We start from the raw sequence: 16,810 nt of genomic DNA on the forward strand, positions 1-16,810 counted from the left end.
GTGTTTTTCTATTCTGGGGTGTAAGGGGCAGCTGGACCACTCCAGCTGGGACTGCTAGGAAGGTTGCGGGTCCACCCGGCCGAGCCGAACGAGGGAAATGGTCCTCACCCGGCCACTCGCCGGTTGAAAAGGGGCCGCCCTGGCAGGGAAGCGGCCGCCGCGGCGCGGTGCAGCGCAGCGGCGAGAAGGAGTGCGTTATCGTCTTGCGCTACTGCTGAATGTCCGTCCCGGAGGAGGAGGAGAGGCTTTTGCCGCTGACCCAGAGATGGCCCCGAGCGAGCAAATTCCTACTGTCCGGCTGCGCGGCTACCGTGGCCGAGCTAGGTACCCGGCTGCCCACGCCTGGGCCTCCCGGGCCAGTGGCACGCGCCGCGCTGGGGGAGGGTGCGCGGGCGGCTTCGCGCCCGGCAGTGCGCATCGGAGAGGTCGCCCCTTCCATGCCCGCCTGGCAGAGGTGGCGGTGGAGGCCAGGCCCGCGGTGGGAGGAGGAGGGATTGAGGTCTCCACGGCCTTTTCCTTCTAATCTCTTCTAATGCTTCCCTTAGGCATGTGCTGTGGTGCTTGAATGTTGTACTTTAAGAAGCTTCGCGAGCTGTCATTCCTCTGTAGGAATCATTTTCCTTTTCATGAGGATGACCTTTTTAAAAACGTAATCTGTTTTCCATCCTTACTGAGATCATCTCTGTGGTTTATAGTCTTACACAGCCACACTGTCATTATCTTGTGGGTCCAAGTTGTGGACCTACCTTGTGGGACTTCCGTTATTAACCTGCCACTCACAGAGCATCGACTACTTGACCTCTTTGAGTGTAATTCATCTATACTGTTTACCTTGCAGGATTCTGAGAAGTCAATAATATATGATTGCTAAACCCAAGGCAGGACACCCATTAGTTGCGACATTTTTATAATTCCTACAATACCAGGGACTGTGGATATATATTTGAAAAGACCCAGTTCTGACCTTCTTACAGGCTGCTGGGGAGACAGAGAAAGACAATTATAATGTGCTACTTGTTATAATGAAGATATTATTAGGTGTCATAAAAGCATAGAAGAGCAGTTACATCTGCCTACATGAGTAAGAAAAAACTTTAAGAGGCCATCTAGAGTGGAATGATGATGCCCTTGAATGAGCAAGTAGCGTTTATTCCAAGGATTTTGTGAGTAGTATACTCATGTGTTTCCTGTGAAGCCTTAACTGTGTATTTTAAGATTACCCTTACATTTTCTTGCCTGTTACAAAAAAATAAAAAGAACAGTTCTGATGCGTTATCATTTGTAAATGTTAGTTGGTCCTATTTTAAGAGTTTATTTTTTAATTCTAGCATAGCCAGCCATGATCAGTTGTTTCGTGCTCTTCCATTTTTGCCTTTTAGCCCCTCTATTTTTTAATGTCTCTCCTTTCGAAAATGATGGAGAATTTTTACTTTTCATTGTTTTTACTGAAATAAAATTCATCAGCTTAAAAAGATCTAAAAGCAGATTGCTGAATGATATTTCCAGGTTTTATTTTTAATTGATGTGTCCCCCTCTGACTCAATGGCTTTTATACAGGACTATTCCTCGTTAAAAATTCATGGAGAGAATTGTGTGTGGAGAATGGATGGGAATCAAAATGTGGGATGGTTTTAAGTACAAACCACTTCAGGAACCTGAAGCATCATTTAACAAACCAGCGAGAAAACAAAACTTATTTTGAAAGACATAATCTGTGTAATATGGAGAAATCTATTAAGATTTTTCAGGTTTCATATGTCAATAAAATATTGCTTGAAGTCTATGCAAGCTACTTCTGTTCTAGGGAAACTGTCAGCAAGATACTAACTTTTCCAAAAACCAGTGGTAAGATTTAATATTCACTTCCCTTCCCCACATTGTTTTCTCTTGGAAAAGGTATACTAAGGTTTTGTGTCAGGTGGTGGTCATTGAAAAGTCTTATATAATGTAAGTAATGTTCATGAACTTGTCTGAATGTTATTATTTTAATTATTCAGGACGTTTTCTGTATAAGGTTATGAGCTCTATCTTCCTTATGTAGGCCGTTTAGCTTAACTGTATTAAGGTAAAAGGTCTGTATCTAATTTAAAACTTAAAACCAAAAAATTTTTCCAAAATACAGTTAGTACTTGTAAGGAGGCCATGAGTAGGCGATGCATATAATTTAGTGCTGGAAAAATAATTCCATATATGCTTTAATTGAAAGGATATTGAGCTTATGACCCTTGCATATAAAAGACAACATTATAAACTCCATTACATCTTCTGTATCTCAAACATTATGTCAGTCATTCATCTGCATGTGAACATCACCCACGAAATTATAGAGTTCAGCTTCATCTAGCATTTGTTATAGTACATAAGAATATATAGTGCAGTATTCTAATGTTACATTAGATCTCAAATAATCATGGCTGCAGTCAAGAGGATAGCACACAATATGGTACTTTAAATTATTTCCCATTGAAAAGCAAAAATTAATGACTAACAGATATTAAAGTTAAATTTCTGAATAGAAAGAACCCAAGGCTTGTCATTTTAATTTTTATTGTTAATGTTTGTTTTTTTTTTTTTTTTTTTTTTTTTTTTTTTTTTTTTTGCTAGTGATCCAGGATGCTCTTGCGTAGTGATTCTTAAATTTGGGACTGTGTGAGAATCAAGTTTCTAAACCCTCTTCAACCTACTGAATTAGAATCCATGGGCACGGGGCTAGGAAATTTCTAATTTTTAAAATCTCCCTAGCTGATTCTGATATATTCTAAAATTTGAGAACAACCAGTCTTGGGAAAATATTACTCCTATGATTTTAGATTTTTGTTTGTTTCTCTGAATGTTGTGGGTTTTTCCCTGCATTTGTGTTTTTGTTAGCAACCTTTCCCCTGGATCTCACAAAAACTCGACTCCAAATGCAAGGAGAAGCAGCTCTTGCTCGGTTGGGAGACGGTGCAAGAGAATCTGCCCCCTATAGGGGAATGGTGCGCACAGCTCTAGGGATCATTGAAGAGGAAGGCTTTCTAAAGCTTTGGCAAGGAGTGACACCCGCCATTTACAGACACGTAGGTATTTATCTTGATTCTAGCTGGTAAGTTTGTTATGAGTTCTGTGTTTGTCTCCTGTGCTTTTCTGTTTGTCCAAAAACAAGTTAGTTTTTTTATCTTACTGATACAATAACTGAACACATACAGCACATAGTCTTTTTTTATTATTATTTAGGTTTTTTTTTTGAGATGGAGTCACACTCTGTCGCCCAGGCTGTAGTGCAGTGGCGCCATCTCAGCTCACTGCAACCTCTGCCTCCCAGGTTCAAGCGATTCTCCTGACTCAGCCTCCTGAGTAGCTGGGACTACAGGTGCACGCCACCACACCCAGCTAATTTTTTTTTTTTTTTTTTTAGAGAGTCTCGCTCTGTTGCCCAGGCTGGAGCACAGTGGTGTGACCCTGGCTCACTGCAACCTTTGTCTCCCGAGTTCAAGCGATTCTCCTGCCTCAGCCTCCTGAGTAGCTAGGATTACAGGCACATGCTACCAAACCTGGCTAATTTTTGTATTTTTAGTAGAGATGGGGTTTCACCATGTTGATCAGACTAGTCTCAAACTCTTGACCTTGTGAAATTTTTGTATTTTTAGTAGAGACGGGGTTTCACCATATTGATCAGGTTGGTCCCAAACTCCTGACCTCAGGTGATCCACCTGACTTGGCCTCCCAAAGTGCTAGGATTACAGGCGTGAGCCGCCGTGCCCAGCCAGAACACATATAGTCTCTTAAGAAGAAAAAAATTAACTACTGATTATTATTAAGAAGTTACTGTCCTAAATTTTTAGAAACGCATACTCACGTATTTAGGGATGAACTGTCATGAAATCTGTAAACCACTTTAAAATATTTAATTAAGCAAAAAACAATGAAGCAAGCCAGATACAGTGGCTTATGCCTATAATCCCAGCAGTTTGGAAAGCCGAGGCGGGATAATTGCTTGAGCCCAGGAGTTCGAGACCAGCCTGAGCAAGATGGCAAGACCCTGTCTCTACAAAGAGTAAGAAAATTAGCCAGGCCTGGTGGCACATGACTGTAGTCCCCACTACTTGGGAGGCTGAGGTGTGAAAACAGCTTGAATCCAGGAATTCAAGGTGGCAGTGAGCTTTGATCCTGCCACTGCTCTCCAGCCTGGGTAACAAAACAAGACCCCATCTCTAAAAATATTAAATTGGGCCGGGTGCTGTGGCTCACACCTATAATCCAGCACTTTGGGAGGCACAGGTGGGTGGATCACCTAAGGTCAGGAGTTCGAGACTAGCCTGGCCAACATGGTGAAACCCTGTCTCTACTAAAAATACAAAAATTAGCCGGGCCTAGTGGCGCATTCCTGTAATCCCAGCTACTCAAGAGGCTAAGGCAGGAAAATCGCTTGAACCCAGGAGGCAGAGGTTGCAGTGAGCCGAGATCATGCCATTGCACTCCAACCTGGGTGACAAGAGCGAAACTCTGTCTCAAAAAAATAAAAAATACAAAATAAATTTAAAAAGTTAGAAAATTAAGGAAATATGGCAAAAATGTTAGCAGTTAATAAATCTCAATGGTAGAGATAGAGGGAGTTACATATTATTTACTTTTCAGTGTTTGAAAATTTTCTTAATAAAAATTTGTATAGGTTTAAGAAAGAAAAAGTGAATAGCTGATTATCATTTTTCTTCACTTAAGAACTTTAAACACAGAATTTAAATTTTTCATATTTTTTGAAAATTAACATATATTTATTACAGTGCCAAATCTCATGAGTCCCTGTCTCATAATCTAAGACCAGGCTACTCTGAAAGAGGACAGAGTTCACTGCCTAATCCAACACTGGCTGTAGTGTAAATGCAACACAGGTGATTTTTGCCCCAGTTCCAAGGCTACCTAACTAGCTATGTGGGCCTTAGTCACCCTTAAAGGAAGATGGTTGCAACTATGCCAGTTAGAACATTTTTCTGCTCTGCTTCCACAGTGGCACTCACAAGAGGAGGACTTGATTTTATAGCTTGTGTACAGGAGAATATAAAGTTGGCTTCAAAGGAGGTAGGATAGGTTTGGCATTTTTCTCCTCATAATGTTTCCTGAAGCATGAAAGGATCCTTGATCAGAAGAGTGCTCAGTTCTAATTTCTAAAATTTGCTGGCTTAATATTTTTAAAGATTCAATTCTCCATATGAGTAAGTTAGCGTGTATCATCAAAAACTATCTAGAACTGTGTGCAGAGACTGTTACTGGTTTTCCAAGTTGTATATTTTTGAGTATCTTAAAATATTTCATCAACTTTCTAAAACATCAAGAAAAGCTCTCTATACAAATACCATGGTTGATTTTAATTATTTTGTTTTCCATCCTTTTAAAAATATTTTCTGCTTTGCATCCCATTATTATTTTGAGTTTCTTTTCATTTGTAGTTTGTTGTTCATTGTGTTGTTTTACAGCTAAGATTCATTTCATACGTTTGATGCTTAGCTGAAAAATTACAATAAATTCTCCAATGAAATTATGTATCTTTATTTAATGAAAATGCCTGCTGCGTACCAAGGTATGTACTAGGGCATCTGGGGTAAGTAAAAACAAACACATAGAGCCTGCCTGGAGAAGCTCATGGTCTGATGGAAAGATAAGCAAGAAGAGTTAATTTCTAATCAATATGATAAAAAGGTCAGAGAGCAGTTTCTGAAAAACATGTTTTTGAGTTGAGTCCTGAAAGACAAGGAGATGTTAGTAAAGCAGAGAAGGGAGAATTCATTCTAGAAAGATCAGACAGTGTGTGGGAAGGGCAGAGTCTGAAAAGAGCATGCCCCATTTGGAGAAGCATCAAGAAGCCCACGTGTTAGAAGCACCGGCCCCATGAGACAAAGACACAGCTAGAGAGATTGACTAGGCCATGTCGGAATGTCCTCTTATTTTATACATACATAAGCATATAGATACATATAGCCAAAGTTACCTTTTTAATGATCTTTTTTACCCAGTGTATTCTGGAGGTCGAATGGTCACATATGAACATCTCCGAGAGGTTGTGTTTGGCAAAAGTGAAGATGAGCATTATCCCCTTTGGTAAGTTTTGTTTGGAAAATAATATGCTGTTGCCCCAAATGCCTTAATGTTTATTAGGTTTATGTAAAATTGTACATTTGTACCCAAATTGCCTTAAGTTATGGACTTAAAATAATAATTACAATATAAGTCCAGATAATTGAGCATTTACTGCAGATGTATACAGACATACATGTATATACATATATAAATTGCATATATAGAGATATTTAGTATTTTACTGTTGAAAGAATTCTTATAGAGTACCTTTTTATTCCTCTTTTTATTAAGAACTCTCGGCTTTAGAGTCAGACAGGGATGGGCTCAAATTCCTGCTCTGCTACTGTATAACCTGGACAAACTGCTTCACCTTTTTTATCTTCAGTTTTCACAGCTATAGAAGTAATACAAACCATTAAGTGTTTTTATAGGACACGGTGAGATGATGAATGTAAGTGTATATTATTTAACGGAAACTGAAAAAATCGGTTACTAAAAATAATATACATAGAGCTCCTATAAATAAATAGAAATATAGAAAACACACGCTGGGCGGGGTGGCTCACGCCTGTAATCCCAGCATTTTGGAAGGCCAAGGTGGGCAGATTACCTGAGGTCAGGAGTTCGAGACCAGCCTGGCCAACATGGCAAAACGCTGTCTCTACTAAAAATACAAAAAATTAGCTGGGTTTGGTGGTGGGGGACTGTAATCCAAGCTACACAGGAGGCTGAGGCAGGAGAATCGCTTGAACCCAGGAGGTGGAGGTTGCAGTGAGCCGAGATTGCACTGTTGCATTCCAGCCTGGGTGACAGAGCAAGGCTCTGTCTCAAAAAATATAAAATAAAAATAAAAAATTGCATATATATATATAATTATATATATAAAATTATATAACCTCTCAGCTGGACCACTGCCATCTAACTCGTCTCCTCCTCCATCCTCAAATGTGTACCCGGTATCCAGAGTGATTTATTTGAAACACAGATATTAACACATTATTGGTGTCCTTAAAACTTGTCACTGGCTTCTAATCACCCACAAAATAAAGTGGAGATTTTGGAATGTGACTTAGAAGATCTGCAATATCTGGCCTGTGTCTTCAGAGAACTAAGCAATTCATTGATTCTCTTGGAAAGAGTGGTGCACTAATGAGCTGAAAGATTCCACTGCCTGCACATACCAAACTGTTCTTCACCTCTGTGTCTGTGTGTGTGTGTGTGTGTGTGTATAGAGAGAGAGAGAGAAAGCACAATAGAAAAATAAGGAAAGGATACCAATAGGCAGTTCACAAAAGAAATATACATGTTCATTAAACATAAAAATGTTCAAACTCACCAATAATCAGGGAAATTAATTAAAACTAACTTTAAGCTGTTAGTGGAAATATAAGTTACTATAGTCTTTTTGGAGCATAAATTACTTGTTAACATTTTTGAACGTGTAACCCCTTTGTGATTATAATCATTTATAAATGCTTCTACATATGCATTAAGACAGACACAAAGATATTGACTGTAGCAGTGTTGATGATAGAAAATTATTTTTTTAATTTAAACTATTGATTTGGAAGCAGTTAAGTAGGTTATGATATATTTATGGCATAACACAGCTATTGAAAGCATGAGGTGGGTTTCATATGACTAACATGGAAAGATGCCTATAAAATCTTTCTTAGGGTTAAAAAAATCTAAGTCACAGCTATAAAAAGGGGCAATATGTAGAGTTTCACCTTTCAGGCAACATTTCTTTATCTTGTTTTTGAAAAATTGTAATGTACTAAGCTATACTAATTGCTTTCCCAGAGTCAATTATGGAATAGATTTATAGTCCTTGCGTTTTGGAATTTCTTCCAGAAGGGAAAGGTTTAAGTAAAAAGTGCAAAGGAAATATTATACCAGAACTTTTAGGGTGGATAGGTTTAATGTCCTTTTGACCCAATCAGAACAATTCATTCAGTCAGTAGGTATTTATTGGGTAATTATGGTATGGTATGCCAGTCTTATACTTAATACTGAGGCTATAGTAATGAAAAAGAAACAGTCCTGCCGTCATTCAGCTTACAGTAACAGAGTCGATGAATAAACAATTAGAATTATGTAAAAAATACAGAGAAAAGAGTGGTTATGAGAGATGCAAAGAGAAAAAATATGATAATGTATGTGCTCATCATTGTGTGGAGAAACAGGTATGAGAGATGCAAAGAGAAAAAATATGATAATGTATGTGCTCATCATTGTGTGGAGAAACAGGCATTTTCACAGGTTGTTGGTGGAAGTGCAAATTGATAAAGGTTTTCTGGAAAGCAATTTGACAGGCTCTAGCAAATGTTATGTAAATGTTCAAATTTCTTAAAGTTATGTTCGTTAAATAAATTATGGCATATCCATAAAATGAAATACTGTCAAACTATTAAAAAGAATGAGGCTGCTCTATATGACCTGATAGGGATAGCCTTTAAGATATGCTGTTAAGAAAACAGTGCAGAACACTGTACAACTTGACATTCTATGTTAGCGCTTTTACAAAGGAACATTTATACAGATATGCTTGTGTATGCACAAACTGTCAGTCATAACTTAGTGTTTAAGACTGTGGGCTCTGCATGCAGGCTGTCTGGATTCACATCTTGGCTGTCCCACTGATTAGTTGTGTGATTTGAGCTGCCATTCAACTGCTCTATGCTTCAGTTTCCTCATCTGACAGAGAGAATGACAGCACTGTCATGAGGGTTGATATGAGAATGAAATGGTATTTTTAAAATGCTCAGAACAGTGCCTGACATGAGCATTCAGTGAATTCGTTATTATCTCTGGCAAGGGATATAATAAAATAGTAATTGTGATTGCTTCACTGGAGGGGAGCTGGACATAGAGGTCAGAAGGAGACTTTTCTTTTATACCCATTTGTAGCTCTTCAAGTTATTTTAAAGTAAAAGGAAATAAAATGCTTATTTTCCCCAAGAGACTACTGCAGTAATCTGGGTTAAAGTTGACCGGAGTCTAGCCTTTGTCTGTTAGGCTGACTACATCTATGCAGTTTTTATTCCCCTGTAGTTGGAATTAAACTACAATTAAATTATCAATTCAGATGTGTGTATCTTTGAAGCAACTGCTCTTTCCTTTGGATTTCAGGCCATATAAGGCCTGAAATTTTCACTCATTGTACTCCTTTAACCTCCCATCAGTAAACAGTCAAACTGTTTACTTTACTCTGTGACTTACTTGGGTATATCCTTTTCTTTACTTGATCTGAAATCTCTTACCTAGGCCCTGTACCAGCTCAGTATTGGTTCACTATAAAATTCGTGAAATTAATGGCAACTTTAAAAAGAATTTCCTTCTGCAATTAGGAAATCAGTCATTGGAGGGATGATGGCTGGTGTTATTGGCCAGTTTTTAGCCAATCCAACTGACCTAGTGAAGGTTCAGATGCAAATGGAAGGAAAAAGGAAACTGGAAGGAAAACCATTGCGGTAAGTTCTCCAATTAACCAATACCTCTCTTTTTCCCTTGGCCACCGTCATATTTTTAACAAGTACCTAATAGAATTATCATCCAGTATGCAGTAAAGATATTACTTCTGACTTTTTTAATCTGGAAGTTCATTAAGAGGAACACTAAGCTGGATCTTTTCTTTGCACTAGGAAGTGTACATGTTCTATACCAGACAAATTATATATGTGTAATGTTCTTTGCTGCTTTTCCCAGCCAAGGCTAGACTTGTCCCCTACTGCAGGTTAACATAAACAGTTTGATTATTAAAATTTGCCCTGGTGTGAATCTCAATTTTGCCACTGTGGCTTGGTGTTGTGGAAGTCACTTAACATTTCTGGTCTCTTGGGTTTTCATCTTTATAAACTCGCTCAAAAGGCTGTCATGATGGTTAACATGCCTGACTGCTCATTAGTGTGAAAAACCTTGCTTTCATTCCCTTTCTCCTGCAGAAAGAGAGTAGCAAGGATAACGTTGCATATTGTCCCAACTTTCTTGTTGAATCTCATTCCTCCTTCATCTTGAAGCCCTCTTTTTCCCTAATATGGCTTTGGGATATAAAATCCTCCCATTGCATTACACTATATTACTAAAATCCACCTTTCTTCCAAGGGTTTCATGTTCAACAGTTTATTAAAATACCACTTAGTTTCCCCTGGGAAAGGGACAAAATCATGCAGATGGATAGACCTTTCCCAGAAAAAAGGTAATTACAGGATGACTTGAGCTGAGTACAAAGGGAGCTGCTCCTGTGAACACTCCAGGTCTGCAGCTGAGCCAGAGGCAAAGGAGGGTTTGGGGCCATCTTCACCGCTGACCACTGCTGTCTGCCCCTCTTCATGTAGCTGACTCAGTGGAAAAGGAGACTGGGCTGCTGCAGCCCAGGGTCCCCTTCAGCCTTCAAAGCATGTAGAGAATATGCACAGCACAGGAGAAAAGGGTACCACTGTGACTTAACCAAGTAGTTTATAGAACCCCAGGGCCCAGTTTGTCATCTTATAACAACTTCTAATGACTAAATAACAGGGAGAAGTCACACTGCCTTGTTGGATAGGAGGAGAAAACTGGTTATTAGGATCCAGAATATCTGAGTTTTTAACTGATCACTCAGTTTTTTTCCCCTCTTTGTTCTTAATGTTGGAAATTTTTGGATTGAATGCACCTAATGTAGTACACTTTAATAATCAAACTCTTTATATTAACCTGTAATAGGGGACAAGTTATATACTACAGTAAAAAGCATGAACATTGAGATCAGACAGCCTGGGATTCAAAGCCAGTCTTTACCATATTTTAGCTTTGTAATCATAGTCAAGTTCCTTACCCATTTTAAGCCTTGGTTTCTTCGAATGTAAATTAGAATCATATTATATACCTCACAGAATTTTCAGTATTAACATGCATCTCATGTATATTAAATGCTTGGTACTTAGTAAGTGCTCCATAAATTTTAGTTACAGTGATCATCATTCATGATCATAACTTCTCATGTATCATAACAGCAATTATGTGTGTCCAATAAATATGTGATATTATCTTTTTGGTGAGATTCAGAGAGTGTGATGCCTGAGTAAAAGCCACACAGGCTAGTAAGTGGTGAAGGTGGCATGTGACTTCAGGTTTTTCTGACTACATAAAGCTCAGACTTTCTTTTAATGCCAGAAGTTTTCATATTTGTTTATGCTTCTTCAGCACCATTCTTCATCTATCTATAGAGAAATGAGCAAGATAAAGATAGTCTACTAAATTTTTTTGAAGCTAAAATTCTTCCGTTTTAAGAACTTTTTATGAAATTGTCCTTTTTACTTCTTAGTCTGTCATTTTTTATGAGATTAATTGTTGTTAATGTCATTATTTGATGAACTCTAAAAATTTGCAGGTCCCTTCCATCACCAGTAAAATTAACCCAGAATCTGATAACCTTTGGTTTTCTCCTATAATTAATACATGTACTGATAATATAAAATATCAAGAAAGGTATTTTTATCCATTTAATAATCTGAGAAGAGGATGATACAGTGTATAAAGATTTTGATTAAAAATATTTAAGTCAAATGTTGGCCTTTTTTCTAAAGGATTATTATGTTTATCTGTAAATTAGACTTGCATAGATTGCTTCATTTCTAATAATTCTGGATAAATTATATCTGGATGTTATTTACTCCAGATTATAAGAGCTATAAGTGAAGCTTATCCAGTTGAATTTCATACACAGGAATACATGGAGTTTTCACATTTAATTATTATTCTCCTTAGATTTCGTGGTGTACATCATGCATTTGCAAAAATCTTAGCTGAAGGAGGAATACGAGGGCTTTGGGCAGGCTGGGTACCCAATATACAAAGAGCAGCACTGGTGAATATGGGAGGTAATGAAAACTTTGTTAAATTCTAAAAAGTCCTAATTGCCTTAATAGCTGTAAGCACTTATATTAGGGAAATTAAAATTTATGTTTTATTTTTAATATATTGGTGACCATATATTGTTGACTGGCTGTATAGATGTTCTAGGTCATAACTGAATATTTTCCACAGAGCATTTTTGCTTCATTCTATAGTGATGTATGAAAAGGATAGGATTTACTAAAATAGGCAAATTGTGACAATAAGGACACAAGGCTAAACTATTTGTAAGGCCTCCCCTCCAGTCCAGACCTTCCTTTAAGATTAAAACTGATATATACAGCTATCTGATCATTATTATATCCAGACTGTCCAAATCTTTCCCCTGGCAATCCTGCTCCTATTCCTAAATAATCAATTTTTATACAGTCTCACACCCCAGGCTGGAAACCTCAATGTTCTCTTAACTCATCCCTACCCCTCACTTCTCATATTCACATACCAATTCTGTCTCCCAAATATTTCTTAAAAGTTTTTCCCCTCCGCCGGGTGCGGTGGCTCACACCTGTAATCCCAGGACTTTGGGAGGCCGAGGCGGGCGGATCACGAGCTCAGGAGATCGAGACCATCCTGGCTAACATGGTGAAACCCCGTCTCTACTAAAAAATACAAAAAATTAGCCAGGTGTGGTGGCAGGTGCCTGTAGTCCCAGCTACTCGGGAGGCTGAGGCAGGAGAATGGCGTGAACCCGGGAGGCGAAGCTTGCAGTGAGCTGAGATCGCGCCACTGTACTCTAGACTGGGCAACAGAGCGAGACTCCATCTCAAAAGAAAAAAAAAGAAGTTTTTCCCCTCCTATACGTACTACTTTAGTATCCTTAAAATGACCATTTCTACACCACTAGCCTTCAAAACCTCTCCGCTGGACCACTGCCACAGCCATCTAACTTGTCTCCTCTTCCATCCTCAAATGTGTACCCGGTATCCAGAGTGATTTATTTGAAACACAGATATTAACACATTATTGGTGTCCCTAAAACTTGTCACTGGCTTATCATCACCCACAAAATAAAGTGGAAATTTTGGAATGTGACTTAGAAGATCTGCAAAATCTGGCCTGTGCCTTCAGAGAACTAAGCAATTCATTGATTCTCTTGCAAAGAGTGGTGCAGTAATGAGCTGAAAGATTCCACTGCCTGCACATACCAAACTGTTCTTCACCTCTGTATTTTCTGTCCTTTTCCCTCCTCTCCTACATAGTTTTCTTCTAGAGGTCCTCTAATACTCAGCTAAGGTGTCTTCTTCACCAATATATTTTTCCTGAACCTGCCACAATCCCTTCCCCCATGCCATGTTGTATTATATGCCCTTTTGTGTGTTTCTATAGCTATTATTGCTTGTGTCTCTTTTCCTTGCCTGCTACTGCATGTCCATATCCTCCACTATATTATAAACCCTTTGAAGGCAAGGACTGTGTTTTATTCATCTTTATTTTCCCAGACCCTCATACGTAGTCAATAAACATTTGAAGAATGAATTAATGAAATAATCCTTTCTAAGACTAATTATATGGTTCTAAGAAATATATAAATAGCATGTTTGAGGGTTCTAGAAATATAGCACCTAAACATCAAAGGAAGTCAATCTGTTTTCAGCTTTGCTATTAGAGTCTGTCTGTGTCTACTGTATATTTGTGGATATTTTGATTTTCAGAAAATCTTTATGATTGTACTTTCTTAATTCATTGGTTCAAAATCTATTGTAGCCAAAATTTCTCTTCCAAGTTCCAGCTATTTACTCAGTATCTTCTTTTGGATATCTCAAGCACATTACTTTGAATATGTCCAAACCAAACTCTTTTATCACACCAATTCTTTCTTAGTATGAGAAAGAAGCTAGAAACTCTTCTTTCACACCATTCTTTCTACATTCTTCATAATTTCAAAAATATATCACCACTCTCTCAGCTGTACAAGCAGAAACTCAGGCATGATTTTTGGCTCTTCTCTTTCATTTGCTCCATTGCTTATATCCAAGCAGTCACCAAATCCAGTCGTTCCATCTTCCAGATATATCTCAAACTCATACACTTTTCTCCATTCCTGGAGCCATTCTGTAGTCCAAGTATTATTTATCCCCTCCTACTGGACCACTACAGAGGCCTTCTAACTAGTCTTTCCATATCTACCCCATTCCCATTTTGCCCCACTATGCCTTTGAAACTGATTTTATCAAGATTACCTTTGCTACTACCTTATTTTTTTTAATTTAAAACTGTCTTCATTTTCACCATCCCTATAAATGGTGCCTCTGTCCTTTAAATTGTTCACACTCAAAACCTTGCAGTTGTTTTTGATTTCTTTCTCCGTTCCATATTCGGTTTGCTGGCTGATCCTGTTGATTCTTCAAAATTTATCCAGAATCTGACCAGGGCTCCACAACTCCCTAATTCAAGTCGTCATCATCGCTTACTGGGATTACTGCTCTGCCTTGTTTTCCTGTAGTCTACTCTTAATAGGAACTATTGAGTTCTATTAAGTTCCAGTAAGAACTCGATAGTTCTATTAAGTTCTAAATAGTAACCTTGGGCAGTCACTCCTCTGCTCAAAAGCCTCCCCTGGCTTCTGCTCTTCATCATCTAGACTCTGCTACTTCTTGCATATTCTGCTGCTGCCGGCCCAGTCTTCTGGCTGTTCCTCTAACACAGCAAGCTGACTCCTGACTCAGGGTTAGAAAACATACTGTATTTTTGCCTGGGGCAATTTCTCTTAGCTATCTACAGGGTTGTTTTCTCATGCTTTCTTTTGGTCTCTGTTCAAATGTCCACTTATCAAGAGGTCTTGCCTGATCACCCAATTTAAAATTAATAGAAACTATTCCTCCCTACCCTCTGGTACTCTCTGTCCCCTTTCCTTACCTTCTTTGTCTTCAGGGCATTTACTTCAAGAGCAAGTGCATCTGAAACACCATGTAGTTTACTTTATTGTCTCATCCCACAACAGAGAGCAAGGATTTTTGTTCATTTTGTCCATGGCTGTTTCCCCCAATGTGATCAAATGTACCTATCCATTCTTGCCTCATTACAACTTACTTCCCCATACTTTAGTGTGGGTTAACTTTATATAACTCTAGCATTGTGATGTCATTCTCCTATTTAAAACCCTTCCATAGCTCTTCATTGCCATTAGAAAAATGTATAAAAGGGCCAGGCGCGGCGGCTCATGCCTATAATCCCAGCACTTTGGGAGGTTGAGGTGAGCAGATCTCTTGAGCTCCGGAGTTGGAGACCAGCCTGGGTAATATAGTAAAACCCCATCTCTACAAAAATATTGAAAAATTAGCCAGATGCACACCTGTAATCCTAGCTACTTGGGAGGCTGAGGCACAAGAATCACTTGAGCCCAGGAGGCGGAGGTTGCAGTGAGCCGCGATCACGCCACTGCACTCAAGCCTGTGTGACAGAGACCCTGTCTTGAAAATGTATAAAATGCTTAATGTAGAATAATAGTCAGGACCTTTTATTTATAAGTGACAGGATCTCAATTCAAATTACTTGATCAAATTACTTTTTTGGCTAAAAAAGTAATTTATTGGCTCAAATACTGAAAGGCCCAGGGGTTGAGCTGAATTTAGGCATAGCTAGATTAAGGAGTCTAAATGATACATTTGACTTTCTGTCTCTTCTTCTTTTTCTCTCCCTCTATCTGTAGCTGTGCTTTCCTTGAGAACAAGAAGGATTCCTTGGTAGCTTTCATCCTGGTACACATTCCTGCCCCAAGCCTAGCATATTCTTGACACAAAAGACATTCACTGTTGACTGATGAATATTTAAACTTTTTCCATTGCCAGATTTAACCACTTATGATACAGTGAAACACTACTTGGTATTGAATACACCACTTGAGGACAATATCATGACTCACGGTTTATCAAGGTAAGGATTGTTTTAGTTGGACTCTGTTTTTTTTTTTTGTATCACTTTTTCTTCCATATTTGACATAAATTCTTTAGGCTCATTTGATTGGGATTGTACTGGCATCACCTTTAGAGAAGAGTACATTTATAAAGAGAAATTTCTTAAAGTTTCTTGCAGTTAGAATGGGGAAGAGACAGACAAAGTTGTAGGATGTTTTGGATTAAACCTCTCAAAATATTTGCATCTTGATGGGGCCATCCCAGGAACAGGCTATGATGATGGACTCTCCAACTCATTTCAACAGATATGTTTGAGTGCCTTTTATGTTAAAGGCACTGGGCAGGGCTCTGCAGTGGGCACCAAAGGGGTAAACTCAATTCCTACCCAGGGAACTTACCAACCAGGAAAACAAGACAAATATAAAAACACTCTACAGGAAATGCTAAAAGGAAGCAACTAGTTACTACAGGGTTCAGGGGAAGGAAAAAACATAACCACTTGGAAGGATCCACAAAGGAGGTAGAAATAGACAAGGGTTTTCAAAGGCTGTGACTCTTCACAGAAAGGGATACGAAGGGCTTTCCAGGAAGGAGCAGTACCTTGATCTCTTTGCAACACAATTTCAAATTATCCATTAGAATGACTTATTTTATAGATGTCTACTGTCCTTGACATTATAGTGATTTCATTTAGCTTCTGATCGTTTCCAAATTCTAAAACTTCCTATGCTATTTAGATGACCCTAAAAGTAGACAACCCTAAAAGTGTAATAGTGTCAAGTCAAATATTTGGAGGTAGGGGTGTGTGTGTGCACGCGCATGCACACACGCATGTGAATTTAACCACTCCAAGAGTATTACTGACTCGGCTTTTGCATGTACTGTTCTATCTTCTTGTAACATTCTTCCTTCAGGTCTTCATATACATGTGTCCTTTGTAACCACTCAATTCTGCTGTCACCCCCGGAGCTTTCCCTGACTGCCTGTCACCCAGTTGCTCCCTGTCACAC

The 16,810-nt window shown here is 38.7% G+C and overlaps 1 protein-coding gene across 8 annotated transcripts in view, besides 2 other annotated features; it reads left to right on the forward strand.

Moving 5' to 3' along the window:
* The window catches only part of SLC25A27 (solute carrier family 25 member 27), a 25,216-nt gene continuing 8,406 nt past the window's right edge, over positions 1-16,810 (forward strand). For 6 of the 8 annotated variants that reach the window (XR_007059387.1, XR_007059388.1, NM_004277.5 and 3 more), the window contains exons 1-6: positions 1-324; positions 2,869-3,060; positions 5,988-6,072; positions 9,402-9,524; positions 11,800-11,912; positions 15,735-15,819. Coding sequence is in view for 5 of the 8 variants with exons in the window: in NM_004277.5 (NP_004268.3) it covers positions 219-324; positions 2,869-3,060; positions 5,988-6,072; positions 9,402-9,524; positions 11,800-11,912; positions 15,735-15,819 (704 nt within the window). In the remaining 3 variants the exon portion in view is untranslated. Of the gene's footprint in view, positions 325-2,600; positions 3,061-5,987; positions 6,073-9,401; positions 9,525-11,799; positions 11,913-15,734; positions 15,820-16,810 lie in introns of those variants that run through there. The other 2 variants (XR_007059389.1, XM_047419575.1) reach the window with 2 other exon arrangements.
* Positions 29-158: an enhancer, noted in NCBI's record as "active region_24654". NCBI's record gives its function as "activates an Ori minimal core promoter by ATAC-STARR-seq in GM12878 lymphoblastoid cells {active_cell/tissue: GM12878}" and the evidence as "EXISTENCE:reporter gene assay evidence [ECO:0000049][PMID:35858748]".
* Positions 339-438: a silencer, noted in NCBI's record as "silent region_17273". NCBI's record gives its function as "represses an Ori minimal core promoter by ATAC-STARR-seq in GM12878 lymphoblastoid cells {active_cell/tissue: GM12878}" and the evidence as "EXISTENCE:reporter gene assay evidence [ECO:0000049][PMID:35858748]".

This window comes from Homo sapiens, chromosome 6 (genome assembly GCF_000001405.40).
Source record: "Homo sapiens chromosome 6, GRCh38.p14 Primary Assembly".
In the NCBI taxonomy this organism is placed as follows: Eukaryota; Metazoa; Chordata; class Mammalia; order Primates; family Hominidae; genus Homo; species Homo sapiens.